This window comes from Homo sapiens, chromosome 1 (assembly GCF_000001405.40).
Source record: "Homo sapiens chromosome 1, GRCh38.p14 Primary Assembly".
Taxonomy (NCBI): domain Eukaryota; kingdom Metazoa; phylum Chordata; class Mammalia; order Primates; family Hominidae; genus Homo; species Homo sapiens.
Genome location: NC_000001.11, coordinates 7,423,083 through 7,448,534, shown reverse-complemented (window position 1 = coordinate 7,448,534; position 25,452 = coordinate 7,423,083). Strand labels below are relative to the sequence as shown.

At 54.5% G+C, this 25,452-nt stretch overlaps 1 protein-coding gene and 1 long non-coding RNA gene across 25 annotated transcripts in view, besides 1 other annotated feature; one reads left to right on the top strand and one right to left on the bottom strand.

Moving 5' to 3' along the window:
* CAMTA1 (calmodulin binding transcription activator 1) overlaps window positions 1-25,452 on the bottom strand; it is a 984,253-nt gene that overhangs the window by 321,172 nt on the left and 637,629 nt on the right. The gene's annotated exons all lie outside the window — the stretch shown is intronic.
* On the top strand, window positions 6,918-7,968 carry CAMTA1-AS1 (CAMTA1 antisense RNA 1). Its single transcript, NR_187278.1, has 2 exons — window positions 6,918-7,447; window positions 7,687-7,968. It is a non-coding gene; the product is annotated as a CAMTA1 antisense RNA 1 (long non-coding RNA).
* Window positions 16,945-17,446: an enhancer, noted in NCBI's record as "H3K27ac hESC enhancer chr1:7491149-7491650 (GRCh37/hg19 assembly coordinates)". NCBI's record gives its function as "activates a minimal SCP1, AML or CMV promoter by ChIP-STARR-seq in naive H9 embryonic stem cells {active_cell/tissue: H9 hESC(naive)}" and the evidence as "EXISTENCE:reporter gene assay evidence [ECO:0000049][PMID:30033119]".

Genomic DNA, 25,452 nt, shown 5'->3' with positions numbered 1-25,452 from the left:
CCCAGACAGACTGGGACAGGCTCTGTCCCCCACCCACAAGGAGGGCTGGCGCCTGCCCAGCTCCCAGCTTGGACACAGCACAGAGAGCCTCGGCCTCCACAGAGGCCTCAGCTGAGCACCCACCTGGAGACCAGTTCTCCCCAGGCAGAGGGTCCTTCCTCCAGGACATGGAGGTTCGCACACATTCCAGACCCAAGGAAACGTCAGGTTTCACACCTTCCTGTCACCCAGGAGCCTGAGAGGGTGGCACTGGCAGCAGGTGTCATGCATCAGAATTCTGGAGGGGAGAGCCCCCCCACTCCATGTCCATGCCTGCTGCCAGTGAGGGGAGCCCATCAATCTTTGTGCCCTCCTCCTCACCCCAGAATTTGCCCAGGGAAGGAGAGGAGGGAGGTGCGGGGACTGGGCTTGGGCACCAAGACTCCCTCTCTGCTCTGCAAACACATGCGTTTGGAATGAGGAGGATCAAGACAGCGGCCGCAGAGGAGCACCCGCTGACCTGCTCCGAGGACTCAGTGACATGGGCAGTCTGTGTGGTGTGCATGGACAGCCTGCTTCAGAGCATGGGCTCTGAGGTCAGACCAACCTGGGTGTAAACCTGGATTGATTGCCATGTGACCTTGGGCAAATAGCTTTGCTTCTCTGCACCCAGGTGCCTGCACTATAAAAAGCAGTGAAGAGCTTCTACCTTGTTCAGCAGCGAGCCCACCTGGAATGCTCATGGGAGTTCCTCACACTCAGCACAGGAAGGCAGGAGAGGACAGTGTCCCCACCCTCCAAGGGCTGCATTCAGGCTGGGGAGGCTTCCAGGGCCAGTGAAAGCACTCGGGTGGACGAGAGAACCCCCACACAGGGCTGGGAGGCCCGTGGCACTGGCAGGGCTGCTCTGAGTCCCTGCCGTTCCACTGAGTCCTGAGCCCCAGGGAGGGTTAGGGGCTGCAGCATATGCCTAGCGAGTGCCAGGTGGAGGTGAGCAGAGCCAGGGACCCCTTAGCCTGGCACGATCCCCTGAGGCCTTTGAGAAGAAGCCCATGTGGGAACTGAAAGCTGGCACCGTGGCTGCTGAAATCCAGCACTCAGCAGCTCCCCCACCCCCTCACCCCCCACCCCGCCCCCACTCAAAGCCCTTCAGGCCAAAGGCAGGCCCAACACTATCAACCTGACTTCACTCCGCTTCCCTCCCCTACTCTCCCTCCAGACGGTGTCATGCCATCCATGCGTGCCACGTGTTTACCAAGTGCCCTTCTTGTAGAGTCACTCTGCTTCCCTCCCCTACTCTCTCCCTCCAGATGGTGCTACACCATCCACGCGCACCACGTGTTTACAAAGTGCCCTTCTGGTAAAGCAATGTTCTCAGCCAGGGGCAGTATGGCTCCCTGGGGGCATAGGAAGTGTCTGGGCATTTCAGGTGGGCATGAGGGGTTGGGGCACACTGGCATCTACTAGGTGCAGGCCCAGTGGGAGCCGCATCCTCCAGTGCACGGGACGGTCTCCACCTTGACTCCTCCATCTGGCCCAAACCCCGACAGCTCCAGGTTTGAGACCCTCCTGCAGACCCCAGCACCATACCTGGGAGGTAAGAAAGACGGTGGAGGCGAGGGTGGCTGCCACATGTCCTGCCCACTGAAAGCTGTTTATACTCCACTTTGGGAGACCAGGTGCCCTTACAAGGAACAACCGGGCTGTGAATCCAGTTCCACAGAACCCCAGGGGAGCACCCCTCCCCTCCACAGCCCCGGGGAAGGGATGTCAAGGGTTTCCAGCCCAGCTGCTGGTCTGATAGAAGGTCCCTTTCACAATGTCCCCTGCACGTGGCCAGTGTTGGGATGGCCTAAGCCAGCGGGCAGCCCCTACTGTGGGAGAGCCTTCTTCATCGCCCACAGAGGGGTCCGGCCAACATGGGTTCGGCTCCCAGCTGCACCACTACAAGCCACATGAGCTCCGTTTGCCGTATCACCTTTCTGAGGCTCATTCGCCCAGTAGGCAAGTCCGTGGCCACCCGGGCCCTCCTGGTGGCCAGGCGTGTGTTCCCCTCCCGGTCTCTCAGCCTCCCTCTCGTAAGCAGGATTCCCTGTACCCGTGGGACCAGAGCCCCAGACAGAGTATCACCCTTCCTGAGCCTCAGTCAGGCCAAGCAGCTTTTGTGATCAAATATTGTTATATTTACCTAAGGATCTGTTAGGAAGCAATTTTTGAGATGATGAATATTTAATGAAATATTTAAATATTTAATAGGAACTTTTCAAACCTGACTTAATAATCCATGTCATAGGGAGAGGAAAATGGGGGTCGTGTTTTTACATTTTCACTTCCTCTAGGTCTCTCAGTGTTTGCTAGGCTTTTTTTTTTTTTTCACAGCAGAGTTTTAATTATACTCAATATTCCAGAGAGAAATTCTTTTCTCAGTAAAACTTAACTCTTGCCGACAGCAAGGTGAGCGGCGGGCGGAGGATGCACCGGGATGGAAAATGTGTGGAGCAGAGAGGGATTGTCCACCCACCAGCCCAACTCCCCTGTTTATCAGGTGAGGAGGGAGGCCTGGAGCAGCCACAGCTGTGTCCAAGGTCACGCCAGGCATCTGTGGCCACACCCAGATGGGACCCAGGTCTTTGGACTCGCAGGCTCTGGGAGCTCCATTCATGACACCATCCTGACCCCTGAATGTTCGCTCAAGTCAAGGCTGACATCCGGTGACATCTCCTAGCCTCAGTGATGCTACCCCTGGCCCTCTGTAGCAGCAGCAAATTGAGATGTTCATCGCTTAGGAAGAGGAGGCAACCTCCCCTTTCATGAAAGACTTGAAAAATTTAAACTGAGTTCCAGACTCTTCTACCATGAGGGTGGATGTGAGTGAACGTCCAGCCATGTCTTTGTTCTGTCCTGTGTCCCCTCTTCTCTCTGGCTCCTCCGGCGTCAGGTGGCCTTGGGCCCAGGTCTTTCCACCTGGGAGGGGACACAGGCCAGCTCCGCCTCCCCCTCCAGGCTGAGCCCCTCCCCCGTCCAGGGTCACCTTGGGTGGTTCTGCTCTGGCTGGGCATTCGTTCCCTGTGGGCCACACTGGCACCAGCCTCACTGTACCATCTGTGGGCAGTGGGGCATCCCCCGGCTGACCAGCCCTTCAGACCCAGCTCAGACCACAGCTCCCATGGGCTTCCCCTTCCTCACCAGCTCCGTCTCCACCCTTGTCTCTGTGGGGCAGTCTTTCCTCATAGCAGCGGCTTCTCCATCCCTCTCTGCTTGGATCATTCCAGAAGGCTCTGGATATCTCTTTCCCATGCCTTTCCCTTGTACTCTGGGGCCCTTTCTCTGGTCTCATTCATCAGTACTTCCCTCTCTCCCCATCTGTCCAGGCCACACCAAGCTACTGCACATTCCTAGTGGATTCAGGGTATCCTCAAAACCTGCTTAGACATCACCTCCCCTTGAGGCACCCCTCCCACCTCCCACCTGAGGCACAGAGGTAACCCCCACCCCATCCCCCACCTCCTACCCCGTGCTAGGGAGGCAGCTGCAACCGCTTTTATTACAGCACATTTGATTCCACATCATGGGCTGTTTTTAGTCTATTTCCCCAGCTAGGCGGGCAAATTTTACGGGAAGCAGGAACATGTCACACTCAGTTCTATATTCTCAGGGCCTGGCATGGTTCCTGGCATACAGTAGGTGCTCAATTGCTTGTTGAACAAGTCTTTGAACCTGTATGTCTTTGTGTTGTCTGGTTTTCTTTGTTTTTAGAGGGTTGGGGGAAACCCCCATTTCTATGTCCAGTGAACTGGTATTCACCTTTTAGGTGCTGCTCAAAGACCTAATTCTCATCCTAATCCTACAACAGCTTCTCCTCTAATCTGGCTCTAATTCCTCCAGGCAGAAGTGGATGCTTCTTGCTCGGTGCCCCCATGACCCTCTGCTTGCCCAACATCATCAGCAGGGCCAAGACCTTGCCGTGGCTCAGGGCTTCACTTCCTGCTTCCTCACTCCCTAGGCTGGGCTGTCCTTAGCTTCTCTGCCTCCAGCCCAGCCTGGTGCCCAGGGAGGAGGGAAGCAGCAAACAGAACCTTGGGCTGGGCAGAGTGCACTATGGCCACGTACTGCAGCCCAAGCTGCCTCCTCACCATATTCCCTGAGACCTGCTCAGGCTGGTGCCAGCCCATCACGTGGCAGAAGCTACTGTGGCTGGAGAGGCAGATGCTCGGGCAGCCACAGTGCTGGGTACAGAGTGGGTCCTCAGAAACCACTTGAAATGATCCTGGGGCCCAGGGCAAAGAGGGTTTCTGTTTCTGGGGTGCTTGGATACAGCCCTGAGGCCACACTCCAGAGGAAGGACATGACAGATGAAGATCTGACATTTTTAAGATGGTAACTCTTTTAATAAGGGGTCTTTAAATATTTAGCAAAACAGTAGAAGAGGCCAATTCAGCCAGGAGTGATAGTTTTAATCTCACTGAGCACCAGCGGGTTTCCTCTGAGCGAGGGAATCTGACTTTTCCCTGCTCCCAGCCCCAGCTCCCACCCTCCGCAAACTCCTCCAGCTTCCTCTGGGGGCCTGAAGGAGGGGCTCGATGGCTCACCGACGGATCACAATGTCTGAGCCCAACAAGACTGGGGATGGCATTTCCTGGTCCTGTGTCCAGGCAGAGGCATGGGTGAGAGGCTGTGCCTCCTCCCTCTGGCCTGCTCAGCTGGGACCCCCTGTAGAGGCTGTCTTGGGACCCTGGACAGGATATCAGGAGGTACAAATAAATGGAAAAGAGGGTGCAGAGACCTGAGGGACCCTCTCTGGAGCCCCACTTCTCCCTTCTTACCAAACCTCCACATCTACAAAACCCACCTCTGGCATCAGCTCACCCAGAATGCCCCAGGCTCTGGGCCTCCCTCTACCCCAACGGTGCACTATAGGGCACTGCAATCATCTCTGCTTGCGAGCCTCCTCTGTGCCACTCAATATGGCTGGAAGGTGAGACTGGGTTCCCAGTGCCCTAGCAGGGCCATATGCCAAGCAGAAGCTCAATCAGTGGTAGGTATTGTGCTGAGGTGGTCCAGGCGCCAGTCTCCAGAAAATGCTGATTCGGATGCCCAGGGCTGGGTGACTTTCCACTCTCCCTGCTGTCGTCTGACATGGCTATCATCATCTCCACGTGCTCCCAAGGCCACCTTGATGCAGCATCTACTAACTCAACAAGTACTAGCTAGGCTTGCCATGGGCCAGGCCCGATGCTGGGGCTGAGCATGCGATGGGGACCAGAACAGACCTGGTCCCTGCCTCAAGGGGACTGTACCCCACGAAAGTGGGGAAATGGACTTCATGCAGATCATCATACACGTCTAGGGTATGAAGCTTATGTGTGACTGAGCTGGGAACCCGAAGCCTTATGCTTTGCAGCCGTCATCCAGGGCTTTGACTTGGGTAGAGACACAGTATACTTGAGCTGGGAGGGACAGTTCTGTTGGAGTGAATGAGGCCAAGAAGTCAGGAGGAGGATCTGCGCAGGGGCAAGGAGAGACCACAGGCAGGAAGAAGTGTTCAAAGACAGGGATGGAAAGGACATCCTGAGTCCAGGAGGTCAACAGAGAATGTGGCATCTGGGAAGGCCAGGGCAGTAGCACTGTGTCATAGCCCTTGAGTCTCAGTGTCTGCCTTCTCCATAAGAACACCAGCTCTGGGGGCAGGGACCATGCTTGCTTTATTCCTTGCCAATCTCTAAATACCAGCACAGTACTGACATACAGTAGGTGCTCAATAAATGTTTGTAAACTAGATAAAAAGTGCCTCATAGATATTGTCTCATTTACTCTTAACAACAACCCAGTGGAATCAGGATTATCAGCATCCGCATTTTGCCAGTGAGGGAATGGAGGCTCTGGGAGATTGAGAACCTCAGCCAAGTCACGCGTTGAGTAAACCATGGAGGCAGGATTTGCACCCAGGGCTGCTCTGACCCTCAAACCCATATTCTCAACCCGTGTGCCACTTTGCTTTGGCCTCTTTTTCTAGCAGATTCTTTATCTCTTGGAGCTGCTGCTACCACCTCCATGAATACAACCGGGCCATTGGTATGCGAACCTACGTGCTCCCTGTACCGGCTGCCTGCTCATCTATGCATATTTCGTTATTAAAATGGGGATACTTCAATCTCCGAATAATTTTGTCTTTAGGGAAGCTCCGTCCCCAGCTGCCCACAGCGAAAGCCCCCAGGAAGCAGGCACCTACTTGTGATTCAGGCCACCGTGTCCATCTGTCAACACGGTTGTCTCCTGTATCTGCCATCTCTTATTTATAATCCCGCTCAGATTAATGAATGACAGTAGTTCTCATCACAGGAAATTTGATTAATCAATTTAAGTGCTTAATCACCACAGCCTTGCTGAGCGCTGAGCATAAGGGATCTCACTTTGATGCAGATGAATTTCAGGAAGAACTGGGAGAGTAGAAACAAAATTGTCAGCACTTCTCCATGGAAACCCCATGGAGGTTTCAGGGCTGAGGACAGCGCTGGGGAAGTCCTGGGGCCCCCAGAAGCCAGAGGTGGGGTAACAAGAGGATGGGTGGATGACTTACGCAGGGAGCAGCCCTCTGAAACCGCCGGAATCGAGGCCTCCTTTGCACCTTGATTCCACCCAGAGTCTGCGCCTACGCTTTGGGCAGGGGAGGCAGAACCCACGTTGGTCTAAGAGCAGGGAGAAGTGGGCATGATCCTACCATGCTGCAGGGCCTCGGGATGGGGATGGGATTTGCTGCTCTTTGTGCCCAATTAATGAGCGAGACGAACAAGCACACTGAGTAGCTTCCTGCCAGCCGTCCCCTTTGGCAGCAAACTCATCCCCACCTCTGGGCCTTGGCTCGAGTTGTTAGCCAACTCAACCTTGAAGCCGTCCCTTCCTATCAGCCCATGCAAATTCTGCCATCAGCCAAGGACCGCCTCTTCCTCTTCCGGGAAGCTGACTTCAAGCCATGCCCTTCCCTTTTGCAAGCTCCCGTGGCTCGCGACCCGCAGCCCACCCCTGCACCAGTGGACACTGCGGGATGGCCTGGCCTCGGCTCTGCATTTTCACTTCTCTTAGCTCTCATCTCCTCCACCACAGAGACAGCTCTGTCTGAGTATCTTTCTGATACTGTTCTTTATCCCCCAGGACTGGCCCAGCCCAGGGCGGTGCGTACAGCAGACACTTAATGTAACACAGTAGCAGCTTTTAATTTCTCAGGCCAATGAGATACAGACAGTCACTGGTATGGTAGTTTTTCAGTCAAGCATCAAGGGTGTGTGCCCCTGGGGGACATTGCAAAATGCTGGGTGTGGGGAGCAGTTTGAACAGCAACATTCAATATTACACCATGTTTTCATTTTTCAAATGCAGGAAGAACTTATTAGTTTGAATTACAAACAACAGAAGTAGAAAACTCCACAAGGAAAAATCTCAGCTGGTGAAGAAGCTCAGGAGCTCACAGAAGGTGAGCACTTGGGGGTAAGTGGGCTGGGCACCTCAGGAGTTTTGTGATGTCCAAAAGGAGATGTGGGTGACGTAGGGTTTAAAACCCGCACCTGTAGGACCAGTCAAATGGAGACAGAGTTGGCTTCCCAGAGCTACCGCAAGGGCACGAGGTAGGAGGACCAAGCTACCAGTTACTGAATGGGCACTGAGCAGCTATAATGTGTGCACTAAGCTTGTCCTGTCTTAATCCCAAAACAGTGTGATGAAGTAATCAAACCATCGCCATCGGCTAAGGAAACCGAGGGGTGCAGAGCTGATGTCGCTTGGCCCGCAAGCCACGGAGAGTGGGAGCAAGAGGAGGTTTGGTCAGGCTGCCTCTGCCCCTGTCTTTCTCGGCCCACAGGCTCCAAGCAGGCAGGACCAGACCGCAGCTTCCAGGTGCTGGGATCCGGGGACCACACCTTCACCTGCTGCTCTCTTGAAGGAAAAACAAATATCTGCCTCTGGCAGGTAAAAAAAAAATAAAAGGAGTGCGTCTCATGCTGTTTGTGATAGCTGCTACACAGAGAAAGACTAATTTTGGAAACCGATTATTAAAAAATATATTCACTCTGAACGACGCAATCAATCAAACCTTCAAGATGCAGGTTCAGCCGGTGCCGTGGAACTCCCAGGCAACACACGGCTCCTTCCCAGGCTGCTGTCTGGCCCGGCCAGGCCTCCTTCCCACTGGGACTGTCCCAGCTCTGCCCTGGGGACATTGGCCTCCGGCCTGCCCAGGCTGCAGTGAGGATGGAGAGGGAAGAGGTCGGGGCTCCCGATTGCTGACTGGTCAGGAGGCAGCTGCGGAGTCAGGATTGAAGCCGCATCGGCTCCCATGCCATGAAGTGGACAAAGTGGACACCTCTCCCCACCAGGTAGTGGGCACAGAGCCCAAGACACACTGGTAGGAGCAGTCCCTAGCCTGCCCTCTCGCCTATGCCACGGGGCCAGTGCCACCTGAGCCATGGGCTAATGTGCCAGAGATGTGGGGCACATGGGATGCCCAGTGCGGGTACCCGCCCAGTGCTGCCTGCGTTCCAGGAGCCACCTGCCTCCCTTGCCACTGAGACAGGCCTGCTGGGCCTCAACAAAGCCTCACGGAATTCTAGCGATGATTCTGTGAAGGGATCTCCGAGCTCACTGGGGCCTCTTCATTTTGCAAATGAGGAAGCCAAGGTTGGAGATGCAGCTCACGTGACTCCGACACTCCGCACCTTGGACAGCCTCAGATACCCAGGCTTTGCCTCCTGGGAGGCTGGGCTCGGCACTCTCCCTCCCTTCACCCCTTCATCTGCACCTGGGGAGCTCAGAGACCTGCACCCTAGAGGCCTGCACACTTCCGTTCCTCCCCATCATCACAGTGGGGCAGTCCTGAATGAGAAGCTGCCCAGGTGGTGTCTGGCCTATGGGCCTGCACTCTGGAGGCTGGATCCCAGGACCTATGTAGGACGGTGGCCGTACCATGCGCAGGCTTGAGCCTGTTAACCAGTAGCTCAGAGGGTCCTCAGTGGGGAGCCCTGGTCCTGCATGGGTGGTGGGTCCCACACAGACTCAGGCAGGTGAATCGACCCTCCATGGAGGCATCAGGTGGCAGAGTCGCAGTGAGGCAGGAGTGGGGGCTGGACCGGGAGACGTGCTTCAGGGTAGTGTCCACTCGGCCTGACCTGGGTGGTGCAGGGGCAGGGGGCTCATTCACTGCACAGTCTCAGGGAGGGGCTCGATTCCAGACAACGAAGAACATCAGAGTCGCAGCCAACGATGGCTCAGTGTGGTCCAGGGGACACAGATCCCCCACCTAGGAGGGGTCAGTGGCAGCATGGACCCAGGCAGAAAGCAGTATGACAGAAATGGGGAGCCTGTCCCACCTGTGTCCAGTCAGCAAGGGCGGGCCCGACCCAGGACCGCAGACCCCACCTGGGAGCAGCAGGGCCTGGAGGGGCCCTCGGCCCTGGGAGGACGCAGCTCTGGGCCTGCAGCCCCCCACCGACCACCTGCCTGCAGCCAGAAGCTGCCCCTCTTTGTGGTGGCCTTCCCTCTCAGAGCCAGCACGAGCCCTGCTCACTCTGGCCCTGGTGTGATGAGAGGCGGCTCCGTGACACCTCTCTGTGCAGGCACCGCACCCAGGACTCTCAGAGATGGTCATTCCATCCTCACTGTCTCACTATGATATGGAGGTGGACACTGGGTTTTACAGATGAGGAAGCTGAGGCTGAGAGTGGCCAGGACTTTTCTTCCTGTCCAACCCTGCTCAGTAACAGCAGGTCAGGCCTTCCGGGCTCCACAGGCCATGCTCTTTCTGCTCCACCAGGACCCTCGAGGCCCTTTGAGTTCTAAAACCTGTCTGATTCCTGTGTGCGGGACCCCCTCTGCCTGCTTCCACCTGCCCTTGCCCCTCGGAGGAGACAGATGTTGGGGCCACAGCTGCATTGCAGCCACAGGAAGGAGGGAAACTGGAAGCCAGGGGCCTCCCACGGCTCTGGGTACAGTTGACCCCTCCTGCCTGGACACAGGGGCCAGTGGTGGATGATGGGGACCCTGGGATGCCCTCAGGGTGAGGATAGAGATTCCTGGCTGAGCCCAGGCCCTTGGGGGATCCCAGTCTCTCCAGCCATGGTTGCCCCGAGTGACCGAGACCAGCTCAAAGTCACAACTTCCCCTTGTTCCCGGCCACCCTGGCTCACTCATCACTTTGGCTTCTTCTCAAAGGATTTAAAAGACTCCAAAGAAAGCTGTATCTGGGTTTTCCCTAGAACAGAGTCCTTCTCCACCATGCTCCACCCCCGCAAACCTGCCGCTCGGACAGTGCGTCTTGCCCCTCACCCCAGTCTCAAGACCTCTGACCTACCCAGGCCCTGCCCAGCTGCCTGGAGGTGGCAGCCCTATGGGCCGCAGCTGGGGTGAGAGCTGGCATCTCTGATTCCCCCAACACCACCCAGCCCTGCCTTCTGCCTCTGCCTCCGCCTCTACACCCCTACTCCTGAGGTGTTCTTCTTGGGTTCCTCAAAGCCCCTCTCCTTCAGATTCTGCTCAAACGTCCCACTCTCAGCAAGGCCCTCTGTGATTTCCCGTCACGTGACTTCATTCTTAGCTCTCATCCCCACTTGAGATGATTTTTTATATTTGTTGACCTGTTTGTCCTCTGGCTTCTTCCCAGAAAGCAAGACCCAGGTGGTAAAACCTTGGCTGTCGTGCGGCCTGCTTCACCCATGTGCTGGACACACCGCCCGACCGTGTAGGAGCCGGTCGTACTCGCTGAATGAGTGAATGCGCCTGCTGGCCCGGGACTTACCCCACAGGGCCAGCTGGGGAGGCAGCACCCTGTGTCAGGCCCTCCAACCCACCAAGCTGCAGGCTTCTACAGACCCAGAATCTGAGGTTTCCCAGGGGAGGGGTCTCTTCCCTTAAAAGTCAGAGGCCCCCGGTTATGGATTGAATGTTGTCTCCCAAAATTCATACGTTGAAGTCCTAGCCCCCAGGACCTCAGAATGTGGCCTAATTTGGAAAGTCTCTGCAGATGTAAGGAGTTCAGATGAGTCGGTGGGCCCTGATTCAGCATGACTGGTGTCCTTACACGGCAGGGAGTGTGGGCACAGACACGAACACAGGTAGAATGCCAAGTAAACATGAGGGCAGAGCTCAGATGAGGCTTCTCCCAGCCCAGGGACACCAAGCAAAGCATTAGAAGGCAAGAGAGGCCCCGAACAGGGTTTTCCTCACCGCCCTCAGGAGGAATGGACGTGCAGCCTCCAGGGTGGCAGGATGGATCCCTGTGGCTTAAGCCCCCAGGCTGTGGTGCTTTTAGGCTCATCTGTCCCCTTAGGAGGATGATCCGCTTTCCAGGCCTGGAGGCTAAAGAGGGGCCAGGCTGCTGGTTGGACACCGGAGACCTGCCTCCGGCATCCAGGCATCCGGGGAGGATAGGGCTGGGAAGGGCCTCTGCTGGGCCTCCCTCCTCTTCCTCTGCGGCCTCCTCTGCTTGCCTGCGGCTGTCAGTTTCCCCTTTCTGCTCCTGTCCCACCTGGCCAAGCCTGCCAGCTGTGCCCCAGAGGGGCTGAGACATGGGGGACTTAGATCCTCCTGCAATGCCGCTGTGCCCTGCCATTCCCCCCAACGTGCAGGCTTTGCCCACAGCTCAGAATGTGCCCCACTTTGGTACCCGGCACCCACAACCTCCAGCCTCAGTTACCTCTTTACATCCCACACCCAGATTGCAGGGCCCTCAGCTCCCAGCCACAGCCTGCATTCTACCTCTGCATCCGCCCCGCTGGGACCCCAGCCCCACTGCCGTTCCCAGGGTACAGAGGCGAGGGACTACAAGTTAATAAGAGACAGAAACTAAACAAAATGACCCTGGAAGTAATAACCCTTTCAGATGCCACAGGCCCGGGAAGGGCAAGTCCAGGAACCAGCCTTCAACTGCTCTAGTACCTCTAGAGCTGGGGAGCTGGGAGGAGGGACCAGGCCCTGGCAAGGAGGGACCCCTTACCGACCTCACCCTGCTCCTCCCACCTCAGGTTCCCTGGGGCCCTGTGGTCTGCAGGCAGAGGGCGGCCCAGAGGCTCTGCCGGGCCCACAAGACAGAGCTTTAGATGCTGCAGGAAGCTGGGAGCACCCCTCCAGGTGCTTAGTGCTAGGACAGAAGCACCCCTCCAAGCCTAGCATTAAGTCTGCTGCCTGGAACTGGGGCGTCACTCTTCCCCTTTTCCCTCCCAGGCCCCCTCCCTGAACAATCCTGAACAATCCCATGCTGGAACCAGCCCGGAAGCCAGGGCTTCATCTGCTCCTGAGGACAGGGGCCTGCGGCACGCAGGGCATCTCCCAGCTTCAAACACACTCTCTTCCCATGAGCCTCTTCTCCCCATGCCCGGCTCCCTCTCGCCTCCCAGACTGCTTGGAGAGCTCCCTGGCAGCCCCGGGCCTGGGGGACGAGGGGAGAGACATTTTTTCCAATCAATATTCATATCAGGCTGTGGCTCGAGCTGCCATGAGGCTGAGAGTCTACCTGATAAATAATGTTCTAAGAAAGCCCAGAGCCTCCCGCTCCTGCTTGCAAATTGGGCTGGTTCTCTGCTGCAAGCTCAGGGTGGTGGCATGGGGAGCTTCCCAGCTCCCTCCTCTGCTCCTGAGGTGCCTCTTGTACCTAAGACAGTATCTTCCCCAGGGTGCAGCACAGCCAGGCCCCTGGGTCATGCTGTGAGCTCGGAGGCATGCAAGCCCTGCCAGAAGGCAAGGGTGCAGGAATGGGAGGGTGGCTCCCTGAGCCGGGCCATGAGGAGGGCTCTCTGCGTGGATTGCCCTGACTTCAGATAGGCGGGCCCCTGTGCCACCGTGACAATGCCATGATCGGGCTATAGGAACTGAGTACCCTTCAGCCATGAGAACGGCGGCCAGCCCTTGCCTGGTCAGAAGGAGGCTGCCTGGTTCTTTCTGAGGCGCTGATTCCGCCAAAGCTGGGGGACTTTCCCCAAGCATGGGGACTGCGCTCCACTGCCACCACAGTGAACCAGGCTGAGAACCCTGAAGAGCCCACTGCCGGTTGCTCTCTTCAGGGTAACAGAGGGGATGATGACCCAACCCTCAACAAACCGGAAGGTTCTGTTTCAAAACAGGAATAGCAGCAGAGCAAGAACCCAGCCTAGGGCAGGGATCCCACAGGGAGAGGTACAGGAGTCCCAAACTTGGAATTCTGGAGTTCTGGGATTCTGGGCTTTAGAATGATGGGATTCTGGCCTGAGTTCATGCCTGAGACAGTGAGAATAAAGGCAGCCTGGGGCCTGATCTCCCCACTGGACTGTGAGCTCAGCAGGTCTAGGCAAACTGCTGTGGTTTGAATGCACCCCCTCCAAAATGCAGCTGTTGCCAATGTGATTGTTTTAAGAGGTGGGGTCTGTAAGAGGTGAGAAAGCCATGAGAGCTCCTCCTGCCAAAATGGGATTCAGGCCCTTATAAAAAAGGCTTCAGGCAGCATTCAGCTAGCATGCCCTCTGCCTTCTTTTTTTTCTTTTTTCTTGTTTTGAGACAGGGTTTTGCTGTCACCCAGGCTGGAGTGCAGTGGTGGGATCTCAGCTCACTGCAGCCTCAACCTCCTGGGCTCAGGTGATCCTTTTACCTCAGCCTACCCAGTAGGTAGGACTATAGGCATGTGCCACCATGCTTGGCTAATTTCTGTATTTTTTTTTTTTTTTTTGTAGAGACAGGATTTTGCCATGTTGCCCAGGTTGGTCTCAAACTCCTGAGCTTAAGCGATCAGCCTGCCTCGGTCTCCCAGAGTGCTGAGATTACAGGCGTGAGCCACCATGCCCGGCTCCCCTCCCCACTACTGTCCACCACTCGGGGACAGAGCAAGAAGGCCCTCACTAGGTAAGATGCTGGCACCTTGGCTTTGGACTTCCCAGCCTCCAGAACCATTGATGGGAAATAAATTTCTGTTCTAAGTTACCCAATCTCAGACACTCTGTTACAGGAGCACAAACAGACTAAGGCTCAAGCCAATGTCTGATGATGTCAGACTCATTTTAGAGAACCCAGTACCTAGGGCAGGTCCTAGAAGGTAGCGGGGGACTCAGTGGGGATTTGCTGAATCTGAATGAATGAATGAATGAATGAATGAATGGTGCTTTCCTCCTAAGCCCCAGGGGTGGCCAACCCATCACTGCCTAGCCACCCTATGGGGAGTATGTCACACAGACAGTGTCTGCCCTGGCGAGATGGAGAAGGCCAGCGTCTGTGCAGTGTTCGGGGCTGAGGGAGCTGTCCTTACTGCCATGCTCCCCGTGGCTCCTGTATCCTGCAATTTTTTGCACAGGGTGAGGATATGGTTGCCTTCATGAGCTGATCCCTTGGGAAAGAGCAGAGAGTTCTGCAAATGCTCAGAGCAGCAGAGGGCCAGCCTCCTCCTTTCTGAGAGCAAGTTTGGAAAGTAAAAGAGAGAGAGCTGGGAGGCATGGATGCTTGGGGAGGGACTCTCCAGGAGGAGGAAGGGATGTGGGGGAGGGACTCTCCAGGAGGTGGAAGGGATGTGGGGGAGGGACAGGGGACAGGGCGAAGCAGGCAGCAGTGAAGCCCAAGGTCCAGGCAATAGGCTTAATGCTTCCCCGTCCACCAGGGCCCCCTCCCCTTGCATTGAATGAGGAGGGCTGATCCTGTGCTGCTGGCTTGTGGGGCTGAGGCTGGGGCTACTGCTGTCCTGGCCCCATGAGTCTCCCTTTCCTGTACATCCCAGATGTTGATACCAGGACAGTCAGGAAACGGAATCTTCCATCACAAGGGCCCTTCCTTCTACCCTTTTCAGCCACACCCACTTCCCTCCCAGCCCAACTCCTTCTTAACCACTGGCGGCCACTAATCTGCTCTCTATTTCTATAATTCTGTCATTTCAATGATATTATCTAAATGGAACCGTGCAGTATGTGGCCTTCTGGGATTGGCTTGTTTTGCTCAGCAGTGTTCTCTGGGGGTTCCTCCAGGTGCTCACGTACATCAATTGGCTCGTCCTTTTTTCTCCGTTGGTGAGGTAGTAGTGGCTTCACCTTGCCATTGGACCTGGCCCCTCCCTGAGAAGTGGGTACCTGGAGGGGCCCTGCAGCAAGAAACTGCTAGGTGGTCCTTGGGAGCCTCAAAGGCAAAGGCTGGGCCTGGCCAGGAGTGGGAATCACACAGGCCGTGGCTTTCAGAAGCTCCCAGCTGCCACAGTCCCATCTGAAGGGCTGCAGAGGAATGGAAAGGAGGGAGTCACACAGCTGTGGCCACCAAGGAGGTTGCTCAGGTTGCTGGAGGCTTAGATAGAGATGCCCAGGTGGAGGATGCAGGCAGCACAGCCCTTCCTTCTGCCCTGCCTCCTTCTCTGACACCCAACACCAGCCTGCTAGGGCAGCCACAAGCCTTAGGCTGGCCTATTTCCTGGGCAATTCCTCCCTCAGGGACCTCCATGAGCAGGAGGCAGGCAACCTGGCTCTATTGAATAAGGCCACAGGGACCAAGTACCCTTCAGCCATGGGGACTGGGGGCCGGCATACCCGGTGGTCAGAGGGAGGCTGCCTGCTTCCTTCTGAGGAGGTGATTTCACCAAGGCTGGGGGTCTGTCGGGTCTGGAGATCCCTCTGGGGCTGGCCCCGGTGCAGAACCTATGCACGAAGAAAGGCAGGTGCTGGCTGGGCCCTGGCTGCAGGCTGCCCACTGCTACTTGTCTCCTCAGCCTGGGCATTGCCTGCAGAGAGCGAAATAAACAAGGCCGTAAATAATCCTCTCCTGGTGAAGCTGAAAGGCAGAAGGGCCCTGAATAGAGATAACAGGAGATGCAGGGCCACAAGGGGGACGGCAAATTTTGTTCAACTGAGTGGAGCTCAGACAACAGAAAGGCAGCTGCTGTGTGGGGAGCAGCCAGATTCCCTTCCCAAGGCTTGCTCAGGACGGACCACCCCAGCACCAGAGGTGGGCTGAGGCCCGGACGGAGGCAGAGCACTGGCCCTGGCCCCTCAGCATCCTGGCCCCGTGGTGACCCCACCAGGATGCTTCCTCTCCCAGACAGCCCTGACTTCTCATGCCACGCAGCCACCTCTCACTTGTCTTCTGCTGCATAGAATGGTCTCTGTGCCTCAATTCCCTGGCCGCTACCGGAACATGCTCCTCCCATTCCCTCAGATCCTCTAAATTATGTTAAACACCCACAGAAAGGCCTCCTGGATTGAACTCCCTGGGACACCAATTTATAGTTAGACCTGAATTCAAAACCTGACTTCAGTACTTTCCGGCTGTGTGACCTTGGGGAGGTCACTTTCCCTCTCTGGGCCTGTTTCTGGGTCTGTGGAATAGGGATGTTATGTTTAGCTCACAAGGCTGGGTGAGGCTTAAAAGAGAATACGGATGCTCCTGGCACCTAGCATACCCACAGCCAACAGCGGTTCTCACAGCTCCGGCTCTTCCCAGGGCCCCTGGGCTCTGCGCTGGTCAGCCTTGTTTCTAGTCCACTTTGTCAGCGTTGTTCGATCATCTTCCCAGGTTTATGTCTTGTTCTCCAGAACTGACTGCAGGCTTCTTGGGGACCAGGGTTGCCTCTGCCTGGCTCAGGGCCCAGGTTGTTCCCCTGGCACCAGCATTACAGTCGCTGCCTTCGGGGGTCCTAGAGTCTGGTAGGATGAGTGGCTCCCATGCTGCATGTGCAAAGGGCCTCTGCACAGATGACATAGGACTTTGGGAGCTTGGGGATGGGGCAGGAGGAGGTAAGGGTGGTCTCCAGGGGCTTAGGCATCAGAAAAGCCTTAGAGAGTTGGTCTCAAAGATCTGCAGGGAAGAGGCAGTTTGAAGGAAGGGCTTACTGGGAGTGGGAGACACTTGGCAAGGGAGCAGGGGCAGGAATTCACCTAAGGGGACCTGATCTGCAGATGGGCTGGGGTATGCTTGAGCGGCGCCACGGCAGGAGGAAGTAGAGGCCACCAGCAGGCTTAACTGCCTGGCGCCCACCCCAAAGTGGCCGTCCATTCGGGAGGGCAGTTGGGAATGCTGCCTTCTTCGATCTGCCAAGTGGGGCTGCCCAGTGTGGAGCTGAGTCTATGGCAGGACGCTCTTCCCAGCGATCAGGGACCTGGGGCAGCCACAAGCCTGGGGCTGAAGGCACAGTAGGACCTGTACTCCCGGGTGGAAATGAGAAATCTGGATGCCCTTTGACTGGGTCCTCTGGGGTAGGGTCAGTCGTGACTGCCACCTGGAGCAGCCAGGCTTACTCAGAGGCTGTGGACAAGGGTTTCCACTTTTGCCCTTTCAAACCAAGCTTCCTGGCCAGGCTCCTTGAGGACCCAGCTGCTGATCGATCTCAAAGGAGACATCTCTGAGTTCTTAGAAATGGCCCAAGGGAAAGAGACTTTGGGACTGTTGGAACAGTTTATTCTCAAAAGGCTGAGAAGGCATCTCTGAGTCGGCAGAAAGCCGCTCTCCCTGAGTCCTCATAAAGTGTCCTGCACTTCCACTAACTCATTGATCCACATGTTTTCCCCAGCCTGAAGATTTCTTAACTGTCATCACAAGGTTAGAAGAATTGTGAGTTGGAAAACTATGCAGCATATTAAAGTCAGGCTGAAATATCTCCACAATACAGAGAAATATTTTATATTTATTCTCTTTTAGAAATTGTTATAAAGGGAATATAATGAGAATGTTGCAAATGAGTGGAATATTTTCTTCTAACCTGACAATAAAAATATGTCAAAGGGATGCATGAGACTCTAATAGGAAACAGATGGCGAGCCTTGGAAGTGCAGGGATTTAGCAAAGATTTTACTTGGTGCCTTTACTGGCCCACAGGGCAGAAATAGAGGCCTCTCCAGCAGGCTTCCCTGTGGGTGAACATGCAGAGAATGAGAGGGAAGGGGCAGGTTATTCTATGTCCCGGCCCTGGTCAGGTAACAGAGAGGCTTGCCAAGACCTGAAGCCATGGATCCTCATGGAGCCTCAAAATGGTAGAAACATATCAAGATCCCTGTCACCATCACCTCCACCATCATCCCCATCATCGTCATCCTCATACCCATCATCATCATCGGCAGCAGGTTCACCACCATCATCATCACCACCACCAAAATCACCATCATCCATGTTATCGCTGTCATCACCATCACCATCGTTATTATCACTGTCACCTCCACCATCATCATCATCCTCCTGATGAGCAGCAGCAGCAGATTCACCACCATGGTCACCATCACCATCATAATCACCATCATCCATGTGATTGCTGTCATCACCACTGCCATCAGCAGCAGCAGCACCTCTACCAACATCTCCATCATCCTCGTCATCATCATCCCCATCATCATCAGCAGCAGATTCACCACCATCATCATCATCACCACCATAATCACCATCATCCATGTTATCACCGTCATCACCACTGCCATCGTCATCATCACCATCACCTCCACCATCATCCCCATCATTGCCATCATTGTCATCAACATCCCCATCAGCAGCAGCAGTAGCAGCAGATTTGCCACCTTTGGATCTATGTCCCTACCCAAATTTCATGTTGAAATGTAATCCCCAATGCTGGAGGTAGGGCCTGGTGGGAGGTGATCGGATCATAGGGGTGGTTTCTCATGATTAACACCATTCCCCTTGGTGCTGTCGTGGTGACAGTGAATTCTTACTAGATCTGGTTGTTTAAAAGTGTGTAGCACCTCCCCCACTCTCTTTTCCTCCTGCTCCAGCCATGTAAGATGTGCCTGCTTCCCCTTTGCCTTCTGCCATGATTGAAAGTTTCCTGAGGCCTCCCCAGAAGCCACTATGCTTCCTGTACAGCATGCAGAAATGTGAGCCAATTAAACCTCTTTTCTTTATAAATTACCCAGTCTCAAGTATCTCTTTACAGCAATGTGAGAACTAACATACCATCATCACTTTCATCATCATCCATATTATCAGCACTGTCATCACCATCATCATCATTATCACCATCACCACCATCAGCATCACCATTCACCACTGCCACCAGCATCACCATCATCATCATCCATATTATCACTGTCATCATCATCACCATCATCACCATCACCTTCAGTACCACCATTACCACCATCATCACCATCATCATCACCCGTATTATCACTGTCATCATCACCATCACCACCATAATCACCATCATTGATATAATCATCACCACCATCATGATCACCATAGTTATCACCATCATCATCACCACCATTATGCCCATCATTATCTCCATCCTCATCACCATCATCACCATGCGAATAGTTTCCATGTGTTGAACACTTAAAATATGCCGTGCACTATGCTAAGGGCTTGACATAAATCATTACATTTCAACCTCGCAACCACCATATGAGGTACGTGTATCCAATTGTGTATCCAGTATGGAAACGGATGCTCAGAGAGGTTAGGAACTCACTCAAGGACATACACCCTGTAGGTGGTGGGGCTCTAATCGCAACCCAGGTCATTATGGCTCCCAAATTCTGACAACACTCTCAAATGGAAGAGCATTTCGTGGAAGCAGAAAGCACTCCAAGAAATCTCAAGATGGGGAGGAAACTTCTCCATTAGAGGCGTCCATTAGAGGTGCTGGGTATTTCGTTCAGCCTGTGGCTTGTATGCAATAACCATCTGCTAAGATGACTTCTGCCATCGCTGCCAGCAGACCAGAGAAAATAACATTTAATAATAAACACCCACTGAGCCCTTACAGTGGTGCCAGGCACCGGTGCTAGCTGCAGGAATCAGACGCACACAGACAACCAGCTCCGAAACCAATATGCAAAGGCCACGCAATACAAGACGTGGCACTCAGGGAATCACTCTGATTAGGCACAGGGGTGGTGGGGTGGGGCAGTCATGGCTTTGAAGGAGTGATGGATGAGGGAGAGGGGATGTCATCCTAGTGGAGAGGACAGTGTGGGGGGTCAGAGGAAGAGCCAGGTGCTCTGGATGACTTTAGAATAGGACTCAGGGGAGGATGTGGTAGGGACGCTGCTGGGAGGCAGTGCTGGGCCTCCACTGCAGAGCCCTGACCTATCACCTATGCGGGAAGGCATCTGGACTTGACTCTATGTGCTCCGGGAAGCCACCAGAGGCAACTGAGCAGGGCAGGGTCATGAGAGCCACACAATCCCTGATGTGGTGATCGGCCCTCGGTAAAATCCTAGAGGCAGCAAGGTGTGCCTCCATCTCCTCCCTTCCTTCAGAGCCCCCACCCCAAAGATCCCATTCATACAACAGATACTCAGTGAGCGCCTCCTACACCCTGGGCACTGGTCTAGGTGCTGGCAATGGAACAGTGCATTCGCCCGACGAGGTCTTCCCCTCTAGAAATTCGCCTTCCAGTGTGCAAGAGACAACTTTCCCTGCCCCAGGCTGTGCTTCCCAACAGTACCAACGTCTCCATAGCTCTCCAGAGTCTGATGGTTGCCCGTGGACTTCCTGCCCCCACCCTCCCTCCAGATAGCACTTCTGCGTGCTGGCCAGAACCTTTCAGACACACAGTGCTTCCCAGAGACACAGTGTTTCCCACGGACGCCGACTCCAGTGCTGCCTGCTTCCTGCTTCCCTCCCGTGGCAGCAGCACGTCCTGGAGCCTCCCTTGCCAGGTCTGCTCTGTAGTTTGGAGCTCATTTCTGTAATCCCCAAAGAGGGTACCCTAGAAAGGAAAGGATGAGTCGCAAGGGGCCCTGAGAATATTCTGGAACCCAGAGCTCCCTGTACCTCAAGGCTCACCCTAGAGGACCTGCAATGTCTGAGGGGCTGAGTGCTCAGGGGTAACCCACTCTCCCCCAGAGGACCAGCTGGGATTGCGCCTCGTCCCTGGGCGGCAGAATGTGTGCAGAGGGAGAGGACAGCCCATCCCAGGGGAGAGCTTTCTCAAATTGACATTTAATTTCCCATTGCTAAAAATATTTCTGAAGCCAAGCCACTCAGGATTATAAAAGAGACTAGAGATTGAAAATTAAATACGTATGCACTCACTGCTGGGAAGGATTTGACCTTCGACACTTCCTTTCAATGAATTCCCAAATAAAATACTATTTATACAGCTTATAGCAAATTATTGTGTAGCCCCGTACTAAATCTTCACATTCCAATTTAGACTCTGCAGAGCTTCCTGCAGCTTGGATATGCTGGCAGGAGTGACAATCAGTGGTGTCTGAGGAGGTCTTTTTGAACCCATTGCCGTAGAAATACTGAGTTTGGATCACTCGCAATCTACTTATAAATATTACATTTGTGCTCCTGCAGCCCAAATAGCTAAGCATTAATCTCTTAAGATTAGTGACTAAATGTGCTGGAATTCACAATGTACAAATAGGAACGGAGCTTTTCTGACATTTGTGGGCCACTTAGGAAGCGGTCAAAAGGTTGATGTCATCGCAGCATTAATTTTTTATCAAAGATGGCCAAGCTCATTTTCAGGGTTGTAATAAACAGCTCTTCTCGGCTCAGACACCTCCTGTCCCCCACCTGCTGGAGGCCTCGCTTGTCCTTGAGGATGGATGCCACCTCTTCAGGCCTCTAAGTCGGCTGCCCTGCTTCTGGAAGATTCATCTAGGACAGCTTAAGAGGGGACGACACCTGGGAATGTTGAGTAAGGAAAACACGATTCTGAACGCCACCGCTGAGCAAAAAGGCCTTGCTGGTGGCCTGATAAATTACTAAAAACACAGGCCAGATTTAAGGACCAAATTTCATCTCAACCTGACTCCCAGGAGGACAGCCGTTCAGGTCTTTTTAACTCTAATTTTGCAATTCTACGAAAGCCATTATTTTTAAGTCACGTGCAAGCTAATATGCTGCAACCAGGCACAAAAATGATCTCATTCGGAACTCCCACGTCTCTGAATCTCAGATTTCTCCTGCCCAAATGCGGTGAGCGAAGTTTTCTCCACCTTTCCCCCGCCCCAACCCCTGCTTTTTTGCACAGTCGCCATCAGCCCCCAATCACAGAAGCTCTGAGCCAGGCTGATTAATTATGGATTTGCCAAACCTCGAAGCTTTCACTAAAGTTAATCTTTTAAACGATCTCCATGTAAATCAGGCCTTGCTCAGCCCTGGCCAGGGCCCTCCGCTTGATCTAACAAGTAGTATCAATCGAATCGATGCAGTTATTTAGTATTAATAGATAATGGGCTGCAAGTTGGAAACCCAGGTAGGCAGTTTTTTGGGGGAGATCACTACCGCTGGTCCTATATCCGATGCCAGGATGGGAGTTGACACCACCTGCCCTTGCTGGCCCCATGCACCCACCAGGCAGGGCACCCTAGGACTCTGAGGGGCTACAGAAATGCTAGTGAGGATGCTCTGAGCTTCGGACCGTGCAGCTCTCTCTGGCCCTGGGCACCTGGATATAGTTAAAGAGCAAGGTCTGGGGGAGGTGCCCTCACCTTTTTAAACTGTTAAAGTCAGGCTGGAAAGGTAATCTGCTCAGAAGTGTTTAGAGATGGGGTGGCTGATGGGACTAGCAGAAGGAGGGAGGAGCCCTGCAGATGCCAGGAGGCCCCTACCCTGCCACCTTTTCCAGGACCGCAGCTCACCTGTGATCTCAAGCATGTGTAGTGCCAGTCACTGCAGCCTCTTTTCTCAGCACCTGGCCCCATGCCTGGCACAGGGCAGGTACATGAATCAATGAAATCACAAACATTGGCCTTCAGTGGCTGGCCCAGTGGCTATGGGGGCAGGGAGAAGATGGGGAAGCTGGAGTCACAACTGGGCCCCTCTGGCTACAGAGTGAGACCAGGGCCCAAAGTGAAAGGGAGACTGGGAGTCCCCTCGTCTAGGAAGCGAGCAAGTGGGAAGGGGTGCTCCCTGTTTGCTGGTCTCAGCAACAGAGTGAGGTGGATGGACCCTGCCAGTCCCAGAAGGGCTCTCGGTGGGTAGCAGCCATGCCTGACGTCTTTGAGTCATAGAGAAGGGGCAGTATGGTGGAGGGGGGATTGCTCCTGCCCCCTCTGACTCTCCTCTGACAGCAAGAAGTGCCTGGCTCTTTAGACACCCCGACCCATAGCTTCCCACCTGGCAGCCTCATTCACACTCTCCCTTTATCTGCCATGGAGGCTGCTCTGAAGGACCCTGGCCTTGCAGCGTCCACCCCAGACAAACTCCTAGAGGACTGTCCTTCCTGCCCCCATCGCCATTCACAGAGGATGACTGACATGGGCTAGGGGACTGCCAGGGCCTCTTTCCCAGGGTCTAGGTGCCACCTGAGCACCCAGACCATAATGCCAAGAGCCCCGCTGGCCCCCAGGGAACTGTGCGGCCTCTCCTCAGGGCACCATGGAAGGGCCACCTGCAAGCCTCGCTCTGTCTTCCCTGAGCTTTGGGCAGTGCACCTTCTCTGAGCCTCTTCTCAGAGCAGGAAGTCTTCCCCACAGTCCTGGATCAAGGCCTCTTGGCCTGGGGTCTGTGGGCTCTTTGAGACCTTACAAACGTGAGAATAGTGAGCCGGTGTACACTTTGTTTATGGGGACTAGGTTCTCAGCTTTGGTCCAATTCTCAGATACATTCAAGTTCTCCCAAAAGTAAATAAGCAGTGCTCTCAGGTCTAAGGGCACAGATTGGATTCCCCGAGCCCCCCTGGAAGTGAAGCCAAGTCCATCCTGCCTCCCTCCCTCCCTATGCAGGGACACTCCCTTCTTGTCCCCTCAACTGCTGGCTAGAAGACAGCGTTCTGGGAGGATGAGCGCCACCATGACAAACCCACACATTATTATCTTTATGTCAGAGTGGAGCGGTTTTTAGGGACAGGGATGGCTTCCCCACTGCAGGCCCAGACTGTTGAACTTGGCCAAGGACCCATTTCACCTTATCCGAGCTGCAACATGACAGCTTTGGGCCACGTTCCAGGGTCTCTGAAGCCACCTTTCACCTCCCAGGAGCCTGGAGCATGACTCAACTGTAGCCAGAGACTGAGAGGAAGGAAGGAGAGGGTTTAGCCCATGAGAAAGTGCCATCCACAGCGGCCTGCTTTCTTACAACGTGTCAGCTGCACCAACAGGCTTAGTTTCAGGCCAGGACGTGGCTGCCCTGTTTGCTCCCATGCAGCAAGTGGGATGGGAGTCACCATGTGGATCCCCTCTCAGGCAGGCAAATCCCTAGCTGTCCCCCACCCCCACCCCCCCTCATCCTCCCAGCGTGGCCAAAACAGGAATGCTGCTTCATGAAAGGCCCCTCACTGTGACACGCAATACAAAATGATATTTCCAAGATCTGGCAGAGAATAAGAAAAATCAAAGCAATTTAATTTGTAGAGCAGAGGAAGTGGGTTGGGGAGGACCTCTAATTTGGTTTCTTTTAAAAAATGTCTATTGATGTTTATGTGATAAATGACTGCAAAATGCTCCATGTTGGTACCAGAGAGAAGCAGCTGCCTGTATGCAATGGCTGCACCTGAGGGGCAGCCTCCCTGAAGGTAGGAAAGAGATGCCCGAGAGAAGACAGCCACAAGCACAGAGCCCACGTGGGGACGGTGGTGAGAGGAAGGCTGACGTGGGCTTATCCTTCTGCCCCCATCAGGTGCCCACCAAGCACCTCACCCCAAGAAAGGTGCCGCATGGTGCTGGGGCAGACGGCAAGGGCTTCCAAATAGCTCACAGTGCTCCCTAAAGCCAGAAAGAGGTGACATTTGGGCAAAGAGTTGGCCGCCTGGTTGATAAAGGTGTAAGCAGCATTCAGAGTCCCTCCCCTCTCTGTCCTCTCGCCCCGTACCTTGCTTTATTTTCCATCTGGTATGTTAAATATTTATTTGCCTAATGAATGAATGAAAAAAGAGCAGGTGCAAAATCCTAACAGCACAAACACTCGGCCATACGACATCCTCCTTCGCTCATCACAGCTGACCCAGTGATGGCCCTGGGAGGTAAGCAAGGGAAGTCGTTGCGCATTTTATTGGTAAGAAAAACTGATCAGAGAGATTACACAGTTTGACCCTTGTGGAATTCATGTTCATTGACAAAAGCAGGATATAAAATTGAATATGTAGTTGCATCTCACCTAAGTAGAACAATAGAGAATGAGGTAATGACACCCGGCGGGGGGAGGCTGGGTACAGGCAGGCAGCAGGCATTATCTGTGTGCTGGTTCTTTTTTTTTTTTTTTTTTTTTGAGATGGAGTTTTGCTCTTGTCACCCAGGCTGGAGTGCAGTGGCACAATCTTGGCTCACTGCAACCTCTGCCTCCGGGTTCAAGCGATTCTCCTGCCTCAGCCTCCCAAGTAGCTGGGATTACAGGCACCCACCACCAAGCCCTGCTAATTTTGTAGTTTTAGTAGAGACGCGGTTTCGCTATGTTGGCCAGGCTAGTCTCGAGCTCCTGACCTCTGGTGATCCACCTGCCTCGGCCTCCCAAAGTGCTGGGCTTACAGGCCTGAGCCACCACGCCTGGCCCTGTGCACTGCTTCTAAACCATTGAGGAAGGCTTGGCCCGGGGCCAGGCCCCCACCTGGGGCTGTGAGGGCTGCCTCGCCCTGGGGCTCTTTTGCCCTGAGACTCC